The sequence below is a fragment of the Homo sapiens genome, chromosome 20 (assembly GCF_000001405.40).
Source record: "Homo sapiens chromosome 20, GRCh38.p14 Primary Assembly".
NCBI classification, from domain to species: domain Eukaryota; kingdom Metazoa; phylum Chordata; class Mammalia; order Primates; family Hominidae; genus Homo; species Homo sapiens.
In genome coordinates this window covers 7165846-7187088 of record NC_000020.11, presented here as the reverse complement: position 1 = coordinate 7187088, position 21243 = coordinate 7165846, and the positions used below count along the sequence as shown (strand labels likewise).

Sequence of the window (21243 nt, the reverse complement as noted above, 5' to 3'; positions counted from 1 at the left end):
TCTTTTTTAGAAAAAAAAAAATACGTATTGTCAATAGCTCTTCCAAATGAAAATCACTGCCCAAGGAGCACTGTATAAGCAGCAGTAAGACATTTGCAACCAAGCAAGCATTAACGAAGTCTTGGGTAATTTCTACTGTGGTGAGCAGAATAATGCCAAACCTGCTAGATGTCTGGATTTCTGGCTGCCTAATAAATCTTTCCTTTGTGTAGCCTGTGAATGTTGGCTCATGATCTTCTTACATCAGACTGGCTCTAAAGGGGCTCACTAAAATTGTCCCCAACATCTCCACATGGTAATCTCAAATAAATCAGAGCAGGACTTTTTCATCATTTTTAATAGAGGAAATTATTTAGCAATGCTCATACAATGTACAACAATTTTACTGTTGTGTTTGTTTATGTGATACACAGATTTGTTTGGTTTGCTTTTGTCTTTGATGCTTAAAAAAATTAGAGGGGATTTTATGTTTCTAGATTCCTGGAATCTGTTGGAAACACAAAGAGGATGTTCTCCCAGCATTATAGTCTCAACTAAATTTTACTTCTCAGTCTCTGACAACTCACTTTCTAACTCGAAGTCTCAGTTAAGTTCTACATAAGCACCTCCATCTTTTCATACTTATCCCCGACTAGCTAATTTTTTAAAGTAAGTGGAACTTACTTTATTTCTTCTTCCTTTTTACAGAGAAGGAAAACAGGTAAACTGTATTCTTTTTTTTTTTCCTTTTTTTAGGTCTCCTTTGATTTATTTAATCAGCATTGTATTGTTTTCAGCATATACGTTTGGTATATGTTTTGTCAGACTTACACATACATTATTCTCTTTTAAAGCAATTACAAGTGGCGTTGGATTCTTAATTTCAGTGTCCAACATGCTCATTGTTAGTTGGTGTTGATTTCTTTTTAAATGCTTGGTGAAGTTCCCTAGTGAAACCATGTGAGCCTGGAGATTTCTTTGTCTGTGCCTGTTAATGTTTTTGGGTTGCTGGCTTCTCCAGCACCCAGCACCCTGCCTGAGATTCATGAGGCCAAAGAAAACACAGAAGACTCACTACCATGCGCTTCCTTGGACCTCAAGCTCCCTAGCTAGCCTCCCTTCTTCTCTATAACTTTCAGAGTCACCTTAAGTTTTATGTATATATATGTCCAAGGTTTTTATTTGTACTTAGTGGGAAGAATAGGGAAAAATATGTCTACTCCATCTTCTCAAAAGTAGAAGTCCCCAGATTATAGAACCTTTTGATTCTAAATTTATTTGAGAAGCTATTTAAACACATACACACATTTATAGACATCAGATATTTGTTTTCTAAATCTGTGCCAATGTGTTATGTGTTCCTGGGGCTAGTACTAGGGCCTGTGAGACAGTGCTACTCATCATGCGGTCCAGGATTCAGTACCAATAGTGGTTACTGCTCTGTAATCAATTTAAAATTCGAGAATGTACTTTTAATCTTCTTTGTTCATGGGTGTGTTACAAATAGTTTGTATGCTAGCACTCATCTCCTGACCACAATTACAGTAGCATGATATTTTTAAGAAAACATTCAGTAGTAGATAGGTCAAAGAAAGTTAAAAAGCTTTCTATACTGGTGGACTCCACAAAGACGATGTGTCAACATCGTCTTTGTGTAACTCACAGGTGAAGCTCTTTTGAAATGTTTCTTTTTTTTTAATATTATAATTATTATACTTTAAGTTTTAGGGTACATGTGCACAACGTGCAGGTTTGTTACATATGGATACATGTGCCATGTTGGTGTGCTGCACCCATTAACTCGTAATTTAGCATTAGGTTTATCTCCTAATGCTATCCCTCCCCCATCCCCCCATCCCACAACAGTCCCCGATGTGTGATGTTCCCCTTCCTGTGTCCATGTGTTCTCATTGTTCAATTCCCACCTATGAGTGAGAACATGCGGTGTTTGGTTTTTTGTCCTTGCAATAGTTTGCTGAGAATGATGGAGGTAAACCGTATTCTATATACTTTCATTTTAAAGCCCACACATACTTTGAGACTGGAGTAAAACTGTGGAGTGAATCAATGGCCCATGCACTATTTCTTGGGAAAAATTCATCCACAAAACACAACTTCTTTTGTGATAATGACCTGAGATGTTTGAAGTGGGGAAAGATGCATTGCAAATATTCGCATACGTATGACTGCAGATGTCTGCCATGATGAAAGAAAAGGGGAAACAAAGGAGAAGTGACTCAATGGTAATCTTGATGAATTGTATACTTAGACTCTTTCTCCAGGGAGCAATTCTCTTCAAGGAAAAACTCAAGACTTTTAGCAGAAACTTTTGGTTTGTTGCTCATGACCATCTCCAAAGACCAAACACTTGCCTTCTACTTCTAGTGATTCACCTTACACAGTGACAAACCACTATACATACATTTGACATTTTTATTTTTGTGGCCTTGGAGATGATCAGAATGGGTTAAAGACTTAGCAGAGCCATAAATCCAAAGGTATGTGTCTAATTACACTCAATACAGAATCCTTAAAATGTAGAGCCTGTTGTTCTTCAACCAGAGAGCTGCTTCTCCCTTAGGCAGTGTAATCTTGAATAAGTAAAATGTATTAGACTTCAATGGTAGGTACCCCAGGGCAAGCCGACAGGAAAATGTCTGAATCCAAAAAGATGCCTCACAGCAGCCAGTTCTAGGCAAAGAAAAAAGGAAGAGGAAAAAACACTCTTTAAGCCATTCCAAACTTGGCTTGGGGAGAACATGGAAAGGGGGAAAGAAAATGTTTGGGTGTTTTTCTTCTTTTTCATGTGTTTTGTCTTGTTGGCATCTTATTGCCAGAAGATATTGGAGAGCCAACAATGTGCAATGTGGAACGTTAAAAATAAATCCTGTCTTGGAGCAATCCAAGATGCTTACCATGGAAATGAGGCTTTCCCAGTGTTCCAGCAGTGAACGAATCTGAAATCAGGGTTCCCTAGTGCCTATGTTACATATTAGAGTGATGAGAAAAAGAGCAGAGCAGGGAGAGACTACTATGATGGCAGAGAACGGGTCAACAAAATGACCAGAATGATGGGTGAGAGTCTGATGTCTAGACAGCATTCTAGTCATCAGTATGGTCAAGAATGGACTCCAGGGAGAGAAGAGCACATCTTTGAGATCCATAAATAAAGATACTTGCTTTTTGAAAAAAGTAATAGTGCAAGGTTCAAGCAATCTGGTTTTTAGTGGGTAGTTTCCTTTATGGTAATTCTTGTTCTATAATCATGAGTCTTTACTCAAGCCTTTACTCAAACAATGATAAATCTCTTTTGCAATATTTATCTTTCTTTCTGTTGAGAAGTTGAAGGTTTAAGTAATGAGATGATATACAGTTAGACCACTGAGCCTCTTGTTCTTTTTTCAAAAGTTAAGTATGACAGAACTCACTCACTGTACTATTCCCAACATACTCTCAAGGCAAAAAGAAAAATAAAGAAGCAAGGAAGAAAAAAAAAGAAATCTTAGCATTAGAAGCCAAAAAGAAATGAATATAAATGCCAATATATACAGGCAACAACTTTTCAAAATACATGGTGTGATTGGCTTTGATCTAGCATCCTCATGGATGGAAGTAATTAATGGAGACAATGATAAGTGTCTTTATCTGTTTGGGCTGCTGTAGCAAAATAGCATAACCTAGTAAGATTATAAACAACATAAATTTGTTTCTTACAGTTCTGGAAGCTTAGAAGTCCATGACTGGGGTCCCAGCATGCTTGGATTCAGGTGAGGGCTCTCCTTTCCCTTTCAAATTGCCAACTTCTAGCTGTGTCCTCACATGGTGGAAGGGGTTAGCTAGCTCTCTGGGGCCTCTTTTATAAGGGCACTGATCCCATTCAAGAGTACTTCACTCTCAAGACCTAATTAGCTCTCCATGGCCCCATCTTCTAGTGCCACTGCATTGGTGATTAGGTTCCCATATATAAATTAGGAGGGGACACAAACATTAAGACCATAGCAACGGGGATTGAATGAGAAAGAGGAACAGAGAGTAAATGGGGATAGTAAATCTGTAGATATAATAATCCTAATAGAATCCTTGTAAATTCAACTCTTTGGAAAAACTACCCAGAAAATAGCTGTGTTGCAAAAGTAAAATCTTGGAAAGTCCATGAGATAGTCAAATCAAAGTTGAGTCAAATCAAAGTTGAGTCAAATCCATTAAAGGGCAGCTGAAATTCAGTGAGAGAGCATTGTGACATTTCCCCCACCTGAATACCATTCCCCATTCTCTAGTGTTGTGGGGCTGCAGCAGTGGCAGCTGCAGAGAAAGTGGCCTATGCTGCTTGTTAGCTTATTTATGCCAGGGTATTAATACAAACCTTGTCCCTAAAATACTGTGGTTGTGGATTTTGGTCTGTCTTGTGGTTCCCTGAGAGAATGGTACAGAGACTGACAATTGTTTCATCACCATTCCACCCCTCCAACTTGGGATGGAGTCGCTACTCAGACTTTGGAAGTGGCTGTGAAAAGATTTAAACACATACATATCCCATGTGCACTTGGAAAAGGGATATCAGATGGGATAAGCAATAGACAAAAACTCCAGGTCTGGGAAGGAGGAGGCAGAAGAAGGTTAATGAGAAAATGAGGGTTCCAAGAGCCATCACATATGCTAGAGAAGACAGAGTGAAACACAAAATGCCCAGTACCCAAAACATGCTCAGAACAGATGTGAGAGGACTCTAGGCTTCCACCTCTGGCTGATCTGTAGGCACCATGCAAGTAGGAGGTAAAGACTAGGGCAGAGTCATAGGCAGCCTTGAAGAAAATCATTTTGGCCAAGCATGGTGGCTCACACCTGTAATCCAAGCACTTTCGGAGGCCAACACACGAGGATTGCTTGAGCCCAGAAGTTTGAGCCCTTCCTGCGCAACACAGCAAGACCCCATTTCTACACAAAACAAAACAAATATGATGGGTGTGCTGGTGCATGCCTGTGAGCCTTGATCACACCACTACACTCCAGTCTGGGCAACAGAGTGAGACCCTGTCAAAAAAAACAAAAAAGAAGAGAAAGAAAGAAAGAAAAAGAAAGAAAGAAAGAAAGAAAGAAAGAAAGAAAGAAAGAAAGAAAGAAAGAAAGAAAGAAAGAAAGAAAGGGAAAGAAAGAAAAGTTTAAGAACATTTCTGATTTCTGTTAGGTCACTGGCTGACTACTGAGATAACAAAGCAGAAACTTTAGTGACCACAAATGACAAGAAATACAGTCTTTCTTTGTGAAAATAGTTTGCAAAAGTAACTGAATAAATGGATATCTATAGCCATAAAATATCAACAACAGTGAACTCTGGGGAGGGAGAGAATCTGATCCCCTAAGTTACCAAACTATAGTAGGGTATCACGTCACACTCTCTAGGATGTTATATTAGTCTGTTCTCATGCTGGTAATAAAGACATACCCAAGACTGGGCAATTTATAAAGAAAAACAGGCTTCATGGACTCACTTTCACATGGCTGGGGAGGCATCACAATCATGGCAGAAGGTGAAGGAGGAGCAAAGTCACATCTTACATGGTGGCAGGCAAGAGAGCTTGTGCAGGGGCAACTCCTCTTTATAAAACCATCAGATCTCATGAAACTTATTTACTATCACAATAATAGCACAGAAAATACCCATGATTCAATTACTTCACGCTCCCATGTGTCACAATGTATATATGTATATGCATGTGTATATATATATATACATATACATATATACACACACACACACAATGGAAAATTATTCAGTCACAAAAAATATTGATATGTACTACCATATGGATATACTATGAAAACCTTATGTTAACTAAAAGAAACCAAACACAAAAGGTCATGCATTGTATGATTTGATGTAATATGAGATATCCAAATAGGTAAATGCACACAGACAGAAAACAGATCGGTGGTTGCTAGAGGCTTGGGGAAAAGAATAGGGAATAACGGTTTATTGGATACGTGGTTTTCTTTTCAGATGATGAAAATATTTAGGAGACAGACAGAGATGATGGTTGTCCAACATTGTCTATGTACTAATAGCCACTGACTTGTTCACTTCAAAATGGTTGATTTTATGCTATTTGAATTTCACCTCAATGAAAAGGAAAAGGAGAAGGAAAAATTTGGCTTCAGTGAAGAGGGAAATAGAAATATTTTAATGGGGTTATCAGTGCTTGGAGTAGGTTGTTTCCTTCTTAATTACTAATTGAGGAGTGATTTCAACATGATGCAATACTGTTGGACAGTATTCAGAAGCAAGGGAAAGCAAACAAACAAGGCAGAGAGGAAACAGTCTACAAAGTATGGATGTAGAATGACAACTGGAAGTGGGGGTTGTTCCCACCTGATGGGACTTATTTCGTCTTTGAAGTAAGACGAATGAATGTCAAGTTCAGAGAGAAGAAATAAAAAAAATTGAAATGGCTCCAGTAGAGAAGGAAAGAGAGAGCTGCATATGAGTCAAACAAGGGCTGAAGGCTCAAATGAGTTTCAAGGACAATCATTTAGAGTTGCACGTGCCATGTTTTTGTGTGTTTGAGCATGGGTAGCATGATTATCAGAAACAATCAGCTGCAGTCAGGCTGTGCTGTCAGTTAGTCATTCCTTTATGTCCAGGACTGTGAACATAAAGAAAACACATGGCCAAACATGGTGACTCATGCCTGTAATCCCTGCATTTTCGGAGGTTGAAGGAGGATCCCTTGAGCCCAAGAATTTGAGACCAGCCTGGGCCAAATAGTGAGACATTTTCTCTCCAACATTTTTTCTTTTTTTTTTAATTAGCTGGCATGATGGCCTACACTTGTAGTCCCAGCTATTCAGGATGCTAAGGTGGGATGATTGCTTGAGCCCAAGAGTTTCAGCCTGCAAGAGAGCCAAGATTGCACCACTGCATCCCAACAATTGGTGACAAAGCAAGATCCTGTCAAAAAAAAAAAAAAAAAAAAAAGCTGTCCAAGCTGATCTAGCCTTATGGTTTTATTACATGGGTGGTGTCATGGACATGAATGAATCAGTGAGGCAGGAGGTTGAAGATAGAATGGGAGAATATGGTCATTAGAGTGGGACATTTTAATTCAATAGTTCATAAATGGAGCAGGCTCTGTTGATGGTGGGCTCAAGCATGAGAGTGTGTGGCTCAGGAGGGGTGGAGGTGAGTTTCTGAAAATGAGGTCATAGACAGAGGCCAGGTGGTTTTATGAACTATACATGTGGATATTGATGTTGCCAACATTGATGGTAAAACTTGGGGTGAAGAAGACAATGTACTCATTCTTCAGTGAAAGAGGGAAAGGGACAATAGGAATAAGAAGGGTGCAGCAATGATCAAGCTGGGTGGTCTGTGGTATAGTCCTGGTCTGGATGTGGTATTGGTAAGTGGGGAAGATGACCAGTCTATCTCTATCTCTTGGGAAGAGAGCCATTTTTTAACTGGAGAGGGTGGGACCATAGGAGAAACAATCTAACTTACAAGGCTTCTGAAGCAAATATGCATCAATCTGAACAAAGGTGATCAACCTGGAAATAAGAAAGAAGAAGGGAAGAGTGTGTCCCTACTGTTACCTGAGCAGTCATAATTGTGGGTATGGGAAGAATCTGCAAATTAGAAATGTGTGCTCTAATGAGGGGCAAAGATGTTTCCCAAGGTTTACCTAGGTTTGCACTAAAGTCTCCAACTCTATTCATATCTTTTTGCTCTTATTCTAGAATGCCCAAGAAATCCTATGCAGACTAATCCGGTTTTCTAGAAACCTAGGGGAACACATTTAGTAGCAAGGTGGATATTGTGGGTTTAGATTTGGATGCACTGGAAACGTATATTTCTATTTTAACTAAATAAACTTATATTCTCATTTGTCAATTGGCTTATCCCAATCCTGGCTACTATATATAAAATCCAGTGATGTTCTGAATGTCTTTGTGCATATGATATTTGATTTTATACATATGTGTATGGGTACATATATTTATATACGTATATATGTACATTTATATATGTGTGTATATATAAATATACACATATACATATATATTAAATCAAATATCATATGCACAATGACATTCAGGAAATCATTGGATATTTTGGATACATATATTGGTATAAAACAGAGTATCGATAAGTGGATATTTGAAATCTTAGATGATTATGTGGAAAATTTAGTTCATGTTCAACTCTTCCTTACCACATACCCAGAAGCCTCTGTATTTTACTTCTTCCCAAGACTGAAAGCTGAAAAATACCATGTGAATATTGACTCAACTCATCTACAGCATGTTTGCTTGGAGGTAGTCATGCACCAAGTTAATAATATGCACTTTGAAGGGTCTGTAATTATGTAGTTTCATAGAACACAGTAATGGAGCTGATTTAACTGCCTACTGTGCAAATATGCATGAATACAATTTTAACCACCTAATATTTACTTATAATGTAATAGCTTCTTGAGAGGTTGTGGGTGGGGGCCAAGAGGTAGAATGTGGGAGCAATTTTACCAATGGGTATTTGAAGTAAATGGAGAAAATAACACCTCTTGAATTATTTATTAGAGAATTGAGGAAAATCTGGAAAAACTCTAGGTCATTATTTTACCATGTTGTTAGGTTTGATCTAAAAGCTTCAATTCTGTATATATCATATTTCTAGTATTTAATTTTAATATGATCTTATCAATTATTCAGATACCTGTCATGATACCAAACTTGTGAGTATGCGTCATTATTCACAAAAATTATTGCTGAACCACAAAAATATTGATGAACAACCAGAAACCAAGTGAAGTGGACTTGACAAATTTGGACCAAGACCATATTTGAGAGGACAAATTTGTCTGCCTACGCATGAAAATTAAACACAGAGCATGGAGATTTCCTTGACATTTGGAACAGGAAACATGACATGTTGTAGAACCAAGCAAAGGTCACACACCCAGGAAGTTCATAAACATTAGTAGTTAATTATTAATGGCTAATGAAGTATCCTTAACATATTATATTTTATTATGTCCAACTCAAATTTGCAGTTTCCCATGATTCAAAAGTCTAAAAAAGACATTACTGATGGTGCCTGATATGGTTTGGCTGTGTCCCCACCAAAATCTCATCGTGAATTATGGCTCCCATAATTCCTACATGTTGTAGGAGGGACCTGGTAGTAGGTAATTGAACCATGGGGGCAGTTTCCCCCATACTGTTCTTGTGATAGTGAATAAGTCTCACAAAATCTGATGGTTTTATAAGGGGCTTCCCTTTTCACATGGCTATTTTCTCTCTTGTCTGCCATGTAAAACATGCCTTTCACCTTCCACAATGATTGTGAAGCCTCCCCAGCCATGTGGAACTGTGAGTTCATCAAACCCCTTTTTGTTCACAAATTACACAGTCTCAGGTGTGTCTTTATCAGCACTGTGAGAACAGACTAATACAAGAAATTGGTACTGGTAGAGTGGTGTGATGCTGTAAAGATACTGGAAAATGTGGAAGCGACTTTGGAACTGGGTAACAGGCAGAAGTTGGAACAGTTTGGAGGGCTCAGAAGAAGACAGAAAAATGTATGAAAGTTTGGAACTTCCTAGAGACTTGGTGAATGGCTTTGACCAAAATGCTGATAATGATGGACAATGATATCCAGGCTGAGTTTGTCTCAGATGGAGTTGAGGAATTTGTTGGAAACTGGAGTAAAAGTGACACTTGCTGTATTTTAGCAAAAAGACTGGTGGCATTTTGCCCCTGCCCTAAAGATTTCTGGAACTTTGAACTTGAAAGAGATGATTTAGGGTATCTGGCAGAAGAAATTTCTAAGCAGCAAAGCATTCAAGAGGTGATTTGGGTGCTGTGAAAAGCATTCAGTTTTAAAAGGGAAACGGTATGAAAGTTTGAAAAATGTGCAGCCTGATGATGCAATAGAAAAGAAAAACCCATTTTCTGAGGAGAAATTCAAGCCCCTGAAGAAATTTGCGTAAGTAACAAGGAGCCAAATGTTAATCACCAAGACAATGGGGAAAATGTCTCCACGGCATGTCAGATACCTTTGAGGTAGCCCCTCCCATCATAGGCCCAGAGGCCTAGAAGGAAAAAATGGTTCTGTGGGCCAGGCCCAGTGATCCCCTGCTGTGTGCAGCCTAGGGACTTGGTGCCCTGCATCCCAGACACTCTAGCCATGGCTAAAAGTGGCCAAGGTAGCTCAGGCTGTGCCTTCAGAGGCTGCAAACTCCAAGCCTTGGCAGCTTCCATGTGATGTTGAGCCTGTGGGTGCACAGAAGTCAAGAGAACCTCTGCTAGGGCAGTGTAAAAGGGAAATGTGCGGTTGAAGCCCCCACAGAGTCCCCACTGGGGCACTGCTGGTGGAGCTGTGAGAAGAGGGCCATGGTTCTCTAGACCCCCGAAAGGTAGATCCACTGACAGCTTGCATCATGCACCTAGAAAACACTCAGATGCTCAATGCTGGCCCATGAAAGTAGCTGGGAGGGAGGATGTACCCTGCAAAGCCACTGAAGTGGAGCTGTCCAACACCATGGGAACCTACCTCTTGCAGAAGCTGACCCAGATGTGAGACATGGAGTCAAAGGAGATCATTTTGGAGCTTTAAGATTTGACTACCCCACTGGATTTCGGACTTGCATGAGGCCAGTAGCCCCTTTGTTTTGGTGAATTTCTCCCATTTGGAACAGCTGTATTTACCCAATTCCTGTACTTTTACTGTATATAGGAAGTATATTTAAGGTAGGATATTTGCCTTGTCTTAGATGAGACTTTGGACTGTAGACTTTTGAGTTAATGCTGAAATGAGTTAAGACTTTCAGGGACTATTGGGAAGGTATGATTGGTTTTGAAATGTGAGGACATCAGATTTGGGAGGGGCCAGGGGCAGAATGATATGGTTTGGCTGTGTCCCCACCCAAATCTCATCTTGAATAGTAGCTCCCACAATTCCCACATGTTGTGGGAGGGACCCACTGGGAGGTAATTGAATCATGTTTGTGGTTTCCCCCATACTGTTCTCATAATACTGAATAAGTCTCATGGGATCTGATGGTTTCATAACGGGTTTCCCCTTTTGCTTGGTTCTCATTTTTTCTCTTGTCTGCCCCCATGTATGACTTGGCTTTCACCTTCCACAATGATTGTGAGGCCTCCCCAGCCATGTGGAACTGTGAGTCTATTAAACCTCTTTTTGTTTACAAATTACCCAGTCTTGGGTATGTCTTTATCAGCAGCATGAGAACAGATTAATACAGTGCCATTTAGAAGTATAATGTTTTCTACTCTGTATTTTTATTTCAATGTTATCAGAAAATAAATTACAAATTATTTATAAATTCCACCATTTAATTTTTTTGTTTTCATTATATAAAGTATGTGGAGGAAGTATTGTGTTCTGTCTATCCAATATCAGCATCCAAAAGAAACCATATTAAGAATTTGATAGCTAATCATACAGATAATTTCCTATGTCTTCAAACACACACATGTGTATGCATGCCTACACACACACACACACACAAACACATTACTTTTGTGAATTAGGTATTTGTTTGTTTCTCCTGAACAGTATACCATGAGTCTATTTCCAGGACACAACATATAGATAATTTATATTAATGGCTGAATAGAGTTTCACAATTTGATCAGTGGTGTGCTGACAAATTTGCTGTGTTTGGATTCCCCAAGACCACCTCCAGGTTTGGTAATTTGCTTGGAGGACTTACAGGACTCAGAATACAATTGTGTTCAGTGCTATGATTTATTACAGCAAAATTATACAAAGAAAAATCAGCAAAGGGAAAAGGTGCATGGGATAAAGTCTGGAGGAAACCAGGAGCAAACTTCCAAAATCCTCTCCCAGTACAGTCATGCAGGACACACCTAATTCTTCCAACAGGGAATTCTGACAACACATATGAAATATTGCATAGGCATGAAGCTCATTAGAGACTCACTTCCTAAGGTTTTTATTGGGAAATGATCAATAGCCACCCTCTGCCTAGCATGTATCAAGGTTCCTCTGCCCAGCCTTAATCAATGTCTTTTAAGGAAAGTAGATGTTCCCCATAATCCCCAGTTTGCACAGCATAGGCACAATGAGGACTTAAAAGTTAGGGAATGGTGAGAACCCTCCCTAAATCCAGCAATCCAGACAGTAATCAAGGACCAACTCTGTAAGCAGGTCATTCTAAAGATAGTAGTCCTGCTATGTTAATTCTTTTCCGCATACTTGATCTATGGATTAAAAAGAGAAGAAAAACTAATTTGGAAGGTTTGCTCATTTTCATGGTATAAATAATTCTACCATGGCCAATTTCAACCTATCAATGTGATGACACCCAGTGGAGAGTTGAAAATGATTCAACAGTTGGCTCTTCACAAGCCAGTGCAAACTGTCTCCAGTACACCACTGAATCATAATTATTTATAATATACTTCTTAAGAGTGTAAAAGTGTGTGCCTCCACACTGGGAGATGTGTGTGTGTGTGCGTATGTGTGTGTGTGTATAGCCAACTGAAGTTAAAGTCAAAAGAGAAAATGAGTTAGAAACTTTCGGTGTTACAGGTAACCCTTCAGTCTCCATGACTGTCTTTCAACTGAACAAGCTGAATAAAAGCTGTTCTTTTCATAACATCTCACAAATAGTAAAATTTTAGAGCCACAAGGGACCTTTAATTCACACCTAACATTTCAAAAGTAAACAACCTAAGAGCCAGAGAATATATGTGACTTTCCAAGACCCCCTACTAACTATGGTCAAAATAGCAGAAATTAAAGTCTAGCTTCCTTGAGAGCTCAACTATCATCCTCAATAATTACAAAATAAAATCTCAAAATAAAATTTAAAGATATATAATAATTTATGAATTCTAGGTTTAAAGACTTTGATAATTTAATGTAATTTCTCAATCCCACTAGAACTGAAGGTGGATGCAAAAATTAAAAGCTGCAAAGGGAAAGTGGGCGTGAAAACAAATGAACACCTTCCTCATATTTTTCAGTAAGAAATTAAAATACGCAGTTTAAAAAAGACAAACAAGAAGTATATATGATTTCATATGTGTAAAGGCAATCCTAGAGAAAACTCAGAACAGGAAGTATTGAGGTGAGCTGAAGACAGAAGGAAAGAGCATTTTAACATTTCATTTTATAATGTTTTGTATGATTTTATATTTATGCATATATTTTCTTTTTCAAACAGATTTGACATATTTTTTAAAGAGAGTGAAAAGACTAGGGATCCATATATTAACAGTAGATATACCTGGTTTTAGGTAATTGGTGATTAAGGTAATTTTCTTCTTTTTTGCATTTCCCGATTTTTCTACATGAACATGTTTTTTTCATGAAGTATAAAGTTTGTTTTAAATTATTATTACTATTAATTCATTCTGAAAGAGTGAAGGGAAAGGAGACATTTATTGTCATCTATAAGCTAAAAATGTTAGTCTAAGCTCAGACTCCTTTTACATTACAGCCCAAGTTTCCGTATCAAAAACATATAGTCACAATTAAAGGAAATGGGAATATTCTCTCCAGTGTTATTACAGATAGGTAGCAGATATCTGATTAGCAGAGTTATTTGAAATTTAATCTGGAATTATAAAGTCTTTCTCTCCAACTTCTCAGTTTACAGTCCTTCTAATGCACTCTCTTATGTAAGCACACAAAGTTTTGGGAGCAGATAATGATTTTTTGGCACACAAACAGCAAATATTAACACAATAGGTTAGTACATAATCATATAATATGCATATATATCATAGCAAGAGAGAAAAAATATTTTAAGAGATGAAATAATCTATAATCTACTCAGCAGGTTATAAAGCAACTGGTTTTTGAGCTAGAAGTCTCATACAAGTTTTTTAATATATTAAAATATAGGGATTAATGAACAGTAGCTTTCACCTCTTACATAAAGGGTTTCAATTATGTTCTGGTGGGTCACCTTACTAATAACTTAATTTTTCTTCATTATTAGAAATATTTTAATAAAACTTATCTTAAGCATCTATTTTGTAAAATGACCTAATTGGAAACACTTATCAAACCTTTATAAATAGTTCAAAGAAAAAATTCAAAGAACATTAAAGATAAAATATTATCAGAAAAAGAGGAGGTAGAGAAGCTGAAAAAGATCATCTGTATCTTCTATATGTCTTTGGGTAAATTTCTAGTGAACAAGATTTGTTTTAGAAAATTTATTTTTTCAGAGATATAATAAATCAATTTGTAAGTTTATTTTTCTTGCAGCCCTGTGTTTTGTGGCTTTCTGGGTTATTAAATGTAGACAAGTCCTAGGTTACCATGTCACTGACAAGTAATCCTCCCTGGTTTTCTTTGCATCAATTGCTTTGTCTTAAAATTTATCTGGGTAGGTTTTGATGACTCTGAGTATTAACAATAACAACAACACTGTCCTCTGAAAAATTAGAAAGGCTGTTTGCATTAGTTCAGATTTCTCATTTCAGAAAAAAGAATATATTCCTGGGTATTATACAGTTTCTGACCCATGAACAGCATCGTTATTAGGGGAAACTGGAAGATGGCAGAATTATGGGCACTGGAAGTGTTGAAAACATGAGACAAATTCCAAATGAGTATACTTTAAAATGATGCCTGAAATAATTTAAATTATCCAACCTTTCAATTATTCACTCATATGTATGTTGAAAACTTGCATAATGCTCACTATGTACCAGGCACCCCTGAAGGTTCTAGTAGCACTGCAGTAAATAAACAAAATTTCTGGACTCAAGGAGCTTACATTCTTGTACATACTTTAAAAGACCAAAATCCAACCTGGAGTCACTACAAAAAACTGTGCTAAAATATACTGATGAGGATCTGAGGTTCTTCTTAGCTTCTGTTGGGAGGCTGGATTTGATCCCAGTATTTTCAGGTCATGAGCATGCAATTCTACTACTGTAAATAGATGAACTCCATGAAACCACAAAACCACCAACACGTAGATTTCTCCCACTTCTGTGACCTACCAGTAGGGCCAAATCTGATATTCACCCCACCCAAGCTGTGGCTGAATTTACTCTTGGATTCCAGGGAGGGGAAGGGCTGGTTTTCAACAGAGACAGGGCTCTAAGAATGTGTCCTTTCCCCAGTCCTCTGCCCACTCCCTTCCTTCTTCCCTCTCTGCACTTCATGCTAAAATCCCTGAATACCTCAGGCCCAGGAAGAGCCCTTTGTAAAAGGAATATCCCAGAAAAGTTTAATTAGAATGGTAAAAGTTATGGAGACACTGAGTGTAAAGAAGAAAAATCCTAACGATTTGAAACCTGCAACTTATGCACATATTTGCAGGGTAAACTATGGGAGAAAAAAACGCTTATAGTCTACAATTTTCTGAGTGCCAGGACAAGGGTCCATCAGTAGAGTTTACAAGGAGATAGATTGTGATTTTATGTAGGATTTTCTAAACGCTGGAGTCCCCTAAATTATAAAATGACCTGCCTTACATATTTGGATGTGTACAAAATGCTCAGTAGTCTGGTTGGATGTTATAAAACAAATTCCTGTATTAAGTTAGTCATACCAATGAATTAGTATTCATTGAATGAATTCTAAGAGATGAATTCTAAGAGATCCTGTCTGACATCCAAAGCTTCTGAGCCTCCATTCCCTTACCCATATGGTGATATCATGGGTCAGGGATACATTTTTTTTCCATGTAGACCCTATGGCCAGGGTTGTAGTATATAACCCTTTATAATAATTATATAATAATCGTATATAATAATTCTAGATATTATAATGTCAAAAAGTACATTTTGTGTAGATCACATAACACAGCTAGTAGGACCTTGGGCAGTATGCACTAATCAACTCGATTAGTAATTATTTCTTCAAACATTTAAATATTCCCATAATTTCAAGAAAATAAAATTTATACATGGACTTAAATATGTACAGGTCAGGTGTTGCCACCAAAATGAGGTTTTGTTTGTTGTTGTTGTTTTTCAAACACTACTCACACACAAAAAGTGGCCAAATTATGGGCATTGGTAGGTGGTTGTGAGATTTAAGTCACTTAAACTCTGGAGAGTGACATAGTAGGTGCTCTGTTACTGACCATTCACTGTCCTGTTTTTCACCGGGGTGGACCTCAGGTAAATCTTAAGATTTATCCTTGTGACATGGAGACTCAGCTTGAAACCACAGCTTTGTTAGTAGCTTTATGTTGTAAAGAATGTGTTAAACAGCAGCTAATTTTCTGATTTGGATACAGATGTACAGCACATACAATGTGCAGAGGTCACTGTTGGCACACACAGGCCACAGATGCCAATTCACAGCAACTCTTTTGACAGAAATGTTCTCAACCAAACAGAAGCTACCTTGACTAGGAGGCCAGCCTCCACCCCCATCCCGGGGGCTAGCCCACAGCTAACAATTCATGCAAAGGGTACAAAACTTGAGCCTCTTGCTTCAAATTGATACCATCTCTGTAGTGCTATTCAAGCTTCAAGACTACCCGTGGGATCAGGAGGAGAACCTGGACCCATCCATTTTTGCTTAATGTCTTTCCTGCCTTCTGCTTTTCTTACAGCTTTATAGCATTCACCAGAGAGCACTCCCTCAGTAAATCATGCGCACCTAATTCCAGTCTCAAGCTCTGTTCCTAGGGACTCTGACCTAAGACAAAAGTCAGTGTGATTTGTTTATGTTCTGTTCATACCCACACCGGTTTAATTGTAGAGATCCTTAAGCATTCACCTGTTGCACTAATATAGCATAATTCAATGAAAAGATGCTGGGCTCTGCAATCAGTTCAAATCTCTTAGCTACCCAGTGAATTATGGTACTCAATGTCCCCATTAAGGATAATGGTCTATGCACTGCAGGAGTGTTATAAATGGAAATAAAGTGCCTTAAAATAACTATCAAAGAATACACATAATAAGTGAAAATTCTATTCCTCCATAAGGATCACTGCTAGATTTTGGCACTCTGTAGGTTTGCAAATCATCATATTCTTTCCTGTCTACTGATGGAACATAGACGTGAAGTTTAATAAGGGGAGAACCACAACAGCATTTCTTAAAGATGCTTCCTCATAATTACATTGCCTCTGTTTGGGATGGAAGTATCTTCTCAATCTTGTGCTTGGAGCCATTTGCCCATGAGTCTGAACCTTCCAGCCTATAAATGTTCTATGGAATATATAAGAACTCTGGTGATTTTCTACTTTTATCTTAAAACCTTTGCCATGTACCTGAAAAGTGTTCTGTTCATTATAAAGGGAGGCTGACACACGCAGCCACACCACCTAAGGAGGGACACAGAAGCAGCTGTGTTTATTTGAGCTTTGCTCTGCCAGGTCTTAGAATCTCAGCTGGAAGAGCCTTAAGACAGAACTAACAACACTCACATGGCCTTATGTCAACTATACTCCATGGGAACCTCTTTCCCATTTGTCCTTCTTAATAGAAAAAGAAAGAAATTTCAAGAAAAATAATTTCTTATAAAACCTACAAGAACTGAGGAAAGAGATGCAATCACTATTATTTATTACTCATCTTTATTTTCAAATCAGTCCTGCAAAATATGTTATTAATCCCATTTTATTGATGAGTAAACAGGCACAGAGAGCTTTAGTAATGTTTTCAAACCATATACTAGTAAGTTGAAGAATTACTGTTTGGACCCCTAACTGTCTGACTCAAATGTCACACTGTTTATATATATTGTCCACACATATTTGCAAGATATTGGGTAAATCCCCAAAGCTAGGCATTGGATATCTTTCTATTCTGCTGGTTAGCTCGAATCAGGTCACGGAAGTAGAACCTCTGGAGCATGTGAGAAAGGTAAGAAAACATTCAAATTATATTCATAATAAGTTTCAGATTTTATGAAGCATTAACACTATGTAAATTATAATGAATACATTTAATCAGCTAGGTTTGAGTTTACCTGAATAAAATGATCCATTAGAAGTAGATGATTGGTAGATCAATAGATACATAAGATAACACCATTCAGAAACCAACTGGATACTCCCAGATTTTACCAGCTGCACAACCATAGTAATAATCAACTATCCAGCTTATGAAAAGCAACATCTTGGCATAGAATAAAGGCTGAAATTTTTACCATGAAACAAAGACTCTGAATTTTAAGGACTCTATATAGAAATAATTTCTTTTTATGGAGTTTAAGAGGTCAAGCAATCTCCAAGAAACTTGAAATGCAAACAACACTATTTGTAGCTTTGCAGGACTGAGCAATTTGTTAAAATGTAAAAAGATTCCTACCTACCTTGGGACACTTGATTCCTAACTGTTGTGTCATCTGCCTCCTTTAATTTTCATATTTGGTGAAAAGAAAAAACATAAACTTTCAAAATCCAAATCCCATACCTCTAACATCAAATAAATATCCATGAAGTCATCTTCTAACACGTCAGTTTGGGGGAAAATTAGGGTGGGGAAATATGCCTGCTGTCATTATATTTATTTCATTAAAATTTCATGGAATTTCACTAAATGAAGGTTTGAATGGATGAGAAGCACCCAGAGAATACACTGAAGCAGCAGGATTTCTAATCAGCTTTGGAAGATGAAACAGTACCTTATGAAATATAAAAAGACAGTATTAAACAGACAAGACATCTACCTTTGGGTATTGTTAATATTGCATATATTTGACTAAATTGGAAATAAATATGTAAGCCTTTTTCTTTGCACTATTTTATATATTTTGTGCCTTTCTTGATTTTTAATGTTTATTTTTGAATCTTACACCTATGAGCCACTTCTTAAATATTTCCTTCTTCCATATTTCATTGCTCTTGGCTTCTTTCCTTTCCTCTCTCTCTCTGAGGATTTTATGGGTTTACACCACAGTCTCTGCTACTTAGGAAGTGTTGGATAAGTACTTGTTTGATTGATTTATTGCTGACCAGTTTTACCTACTCTCCTGTCACCTCTGTTTTATCACCCCAGCATTTTCTTTGGGGAAGAAGTGTCAAATAATTGAATCAAAGCCAGCAGTCAAGTCAGGTCAAGAAAGGTGCATTGGAGCAAGAGGATGCTCATGTCACCAGCACTGCTGGGCAGGAAAGACCAAGGAAAGCAAATGGCTCAACTTGAGAAAGCTCATCTGAAAGAGTTAAGATAATGAGAGAATGCATTCTTTCTGTAAAAGATTTAAAAGCTCATGTAAAGTCAAATGTAACAATACTTATTAGAGACGGTGGCAAATACTTTATGACTCAATAAGGCAAATCTCCTCAGTAGCAGAGTTCAGAAATATTACATTTTTTTTCCAAATTTGTCGGTAGAAAAAAACAAAACAACTAAATCTAACTTTGATTCTCACGTCTTCTTCCCTCTCTGTGATTAAGACGGAAGGTTGTAAACTCAGCTGCAATTGTAAATAATTAATGCTAAACATTTAAGTGCTACTGCAGCACAAAACTGCTCCAGTAATGGGGTTGGCTTCATAATTGCAGAAATTCTAACTTTTACAAATTTTAGGCATAGTTTATTTCAGAATGAAATACTAGAAACTGAATATTACAGAGATAAACATGTTTAGCATTGAGATAAAAATTCAACAACAAAGATTTTATGAAAGTAATATATTTATTTAATCTATACAATATTTCTTTGCAATAGTAATTACATTAATGGAGAATTTTAGAAAAGCAATTTATTGGAGCTACCGTATTTCAAGACTTCATCATAGACTATTTTATCCTAACACAATCTATGTTACACAGCAGAAAACTGAGACTCAGGCAAGCTAAGTGTTATACCCAAAAGTCTGTGGATGTTATACTAGACCTGGCTCTCACAGGCTGGAGAAAGACATCTCTACATGTGGGTTGCTACCTTTAGTTCAGCAACTTCCAGTTTGCAACTTAAAATTAGTCATGGTGGATTCAGAAACACTACATAGAAATTGGCAAATTCTTCAAATTAAGGACTATTTCTGCTTGAGAACTGGTTGTTAAACATTTATCAGCTCACCACTGCATATAGGTCACAGTCAGCAGAGTCGGGATATGAAGCGAATTTTTCTGGTTTTAATCCTGAGCTTTCATACAACTTCTCAGCCACTCAAATACATTTTTCATGTGCAATAGAGTTGTGTATTTTCAATAAAATAAAAGCATCGTTATTAAATGGCGATAAATAACTTTCCAGATCAAGAAATGTGGTAACTGTACGCTCCAGCAAGTACAGAATAAACCCTATAAATGATAAGATCTATAGTTATTCTACTTTAAAATTGTAAACTTAAAATAATTACATTATAACTTTAAAATAATTTAATTGGAGAAAATCAAAACCTAAATACATTTTTAGATAATACTATGTAAAAGCAGAGGGCAGTGTCAAACACACTAGTACTCTGAACACAAGAGAGATTAAAGGAAATATTTGTTTTCAACAGAAAAGCAGGTGGCAGTGAAGAAAAGATGTGAAATCCAGAATGACAGCATGAGAGGGTCTACTGTGCAAAATGATCAGACAAAGCAAAAAAAAAAATCATAAAGATATTAGGAAACTTTCAGGGAGTTTTACCTCATACTAAGACATAAAGAAATACCCTATCAGCTTTATGTCTATAATATGCATAGTCTTAAGTTACCTGGAGTTGATTATTAGTATCATTCCTAGTGAATATTCAAGGATATTTAAAACGAATTTATCCACCACCAGAAGCTGCCTCTTTTTTTCATTAATAAATCAGGAAAGATGAGAGAGATCTGCAGATTGGTTAGGAAGACTTTGATAATAATTTGGTCTTGTGTTTCTCTTTTCATTTCATCATCTTCATATGAGCAAAGATGAATTCAGCTTCAAATATTTGGAAAACAGAGCAAAAATAATTCCTGCCTATGAGGAATTGCTATAGGACCTGTCTTGTTATAAAAATATTCCAAGTGATAATAGAGTCAGAATCCACAAAATCTAGATACTAAAGCTTAAATATGAAATAGTAATTAGCCACAAGATCATGCCAATAGCCAAGGGTTACACTTTCAGTCCTTCACATTTGGGTTATCTGATGTTTCGTGCATTCATAATTGCAGAGATTCTTATTAAAAATCCAGGATCGGCCGGGTGCGGTGGCTCACGCCAGCACTTTGGGAGGCCAAAGCGGGCGGATCACGAGGTCAAGAGATCAAGACCATCCCGGCCAACATGGTGAAACCCCGTCTCTACAAAAAATACAAAAATTAGTTGGGCATGGTGGCATGCACCCACGTGGCAGGAGAATCGCTTCAA

General features: G+C 37.4%; 1 long non-coding RNA gene across 1 annotated transcript in view, besides 1 other annotated feature; it reads left to right on the top strand.

Moving 5' to 3' along the window:
• LINC01428 (long intergenic non-protein coding RNA 1428) overlaps positions 1 to 21243 on the top strand; it is a 107736-nt gene that overhangs the window by 67114 nt on the left and 19379 nt on the right. The window contains exon 5 of the long non-coding RNA NR_110609.1: positions 3696 to 3746. This is a non-coding gene — a long non-coding RNA (long intergenic non-protein coding RNA 1428). The remainder of the gene's footprint in view (positions 1 to 3695; positions 3747 to 21243) is intronic.
• Positions 4123 to 4343: a silencer, noted in NCBI's record as "fragment chr20:7163393-7163613 (GRCh37/hg19 assembly coordinates)". NCBI's record gives its function as "represses an EF-1alpha promoter that drives an FKBP-Casp9 reporter gene in an ReSE screen in HepG2 liver carcinoma cells {active_cell/tissue: HepG2}" and the evidence as "EXISTENCE:reporter gene assay evidence [ECO:0000049][PMID:32094911]".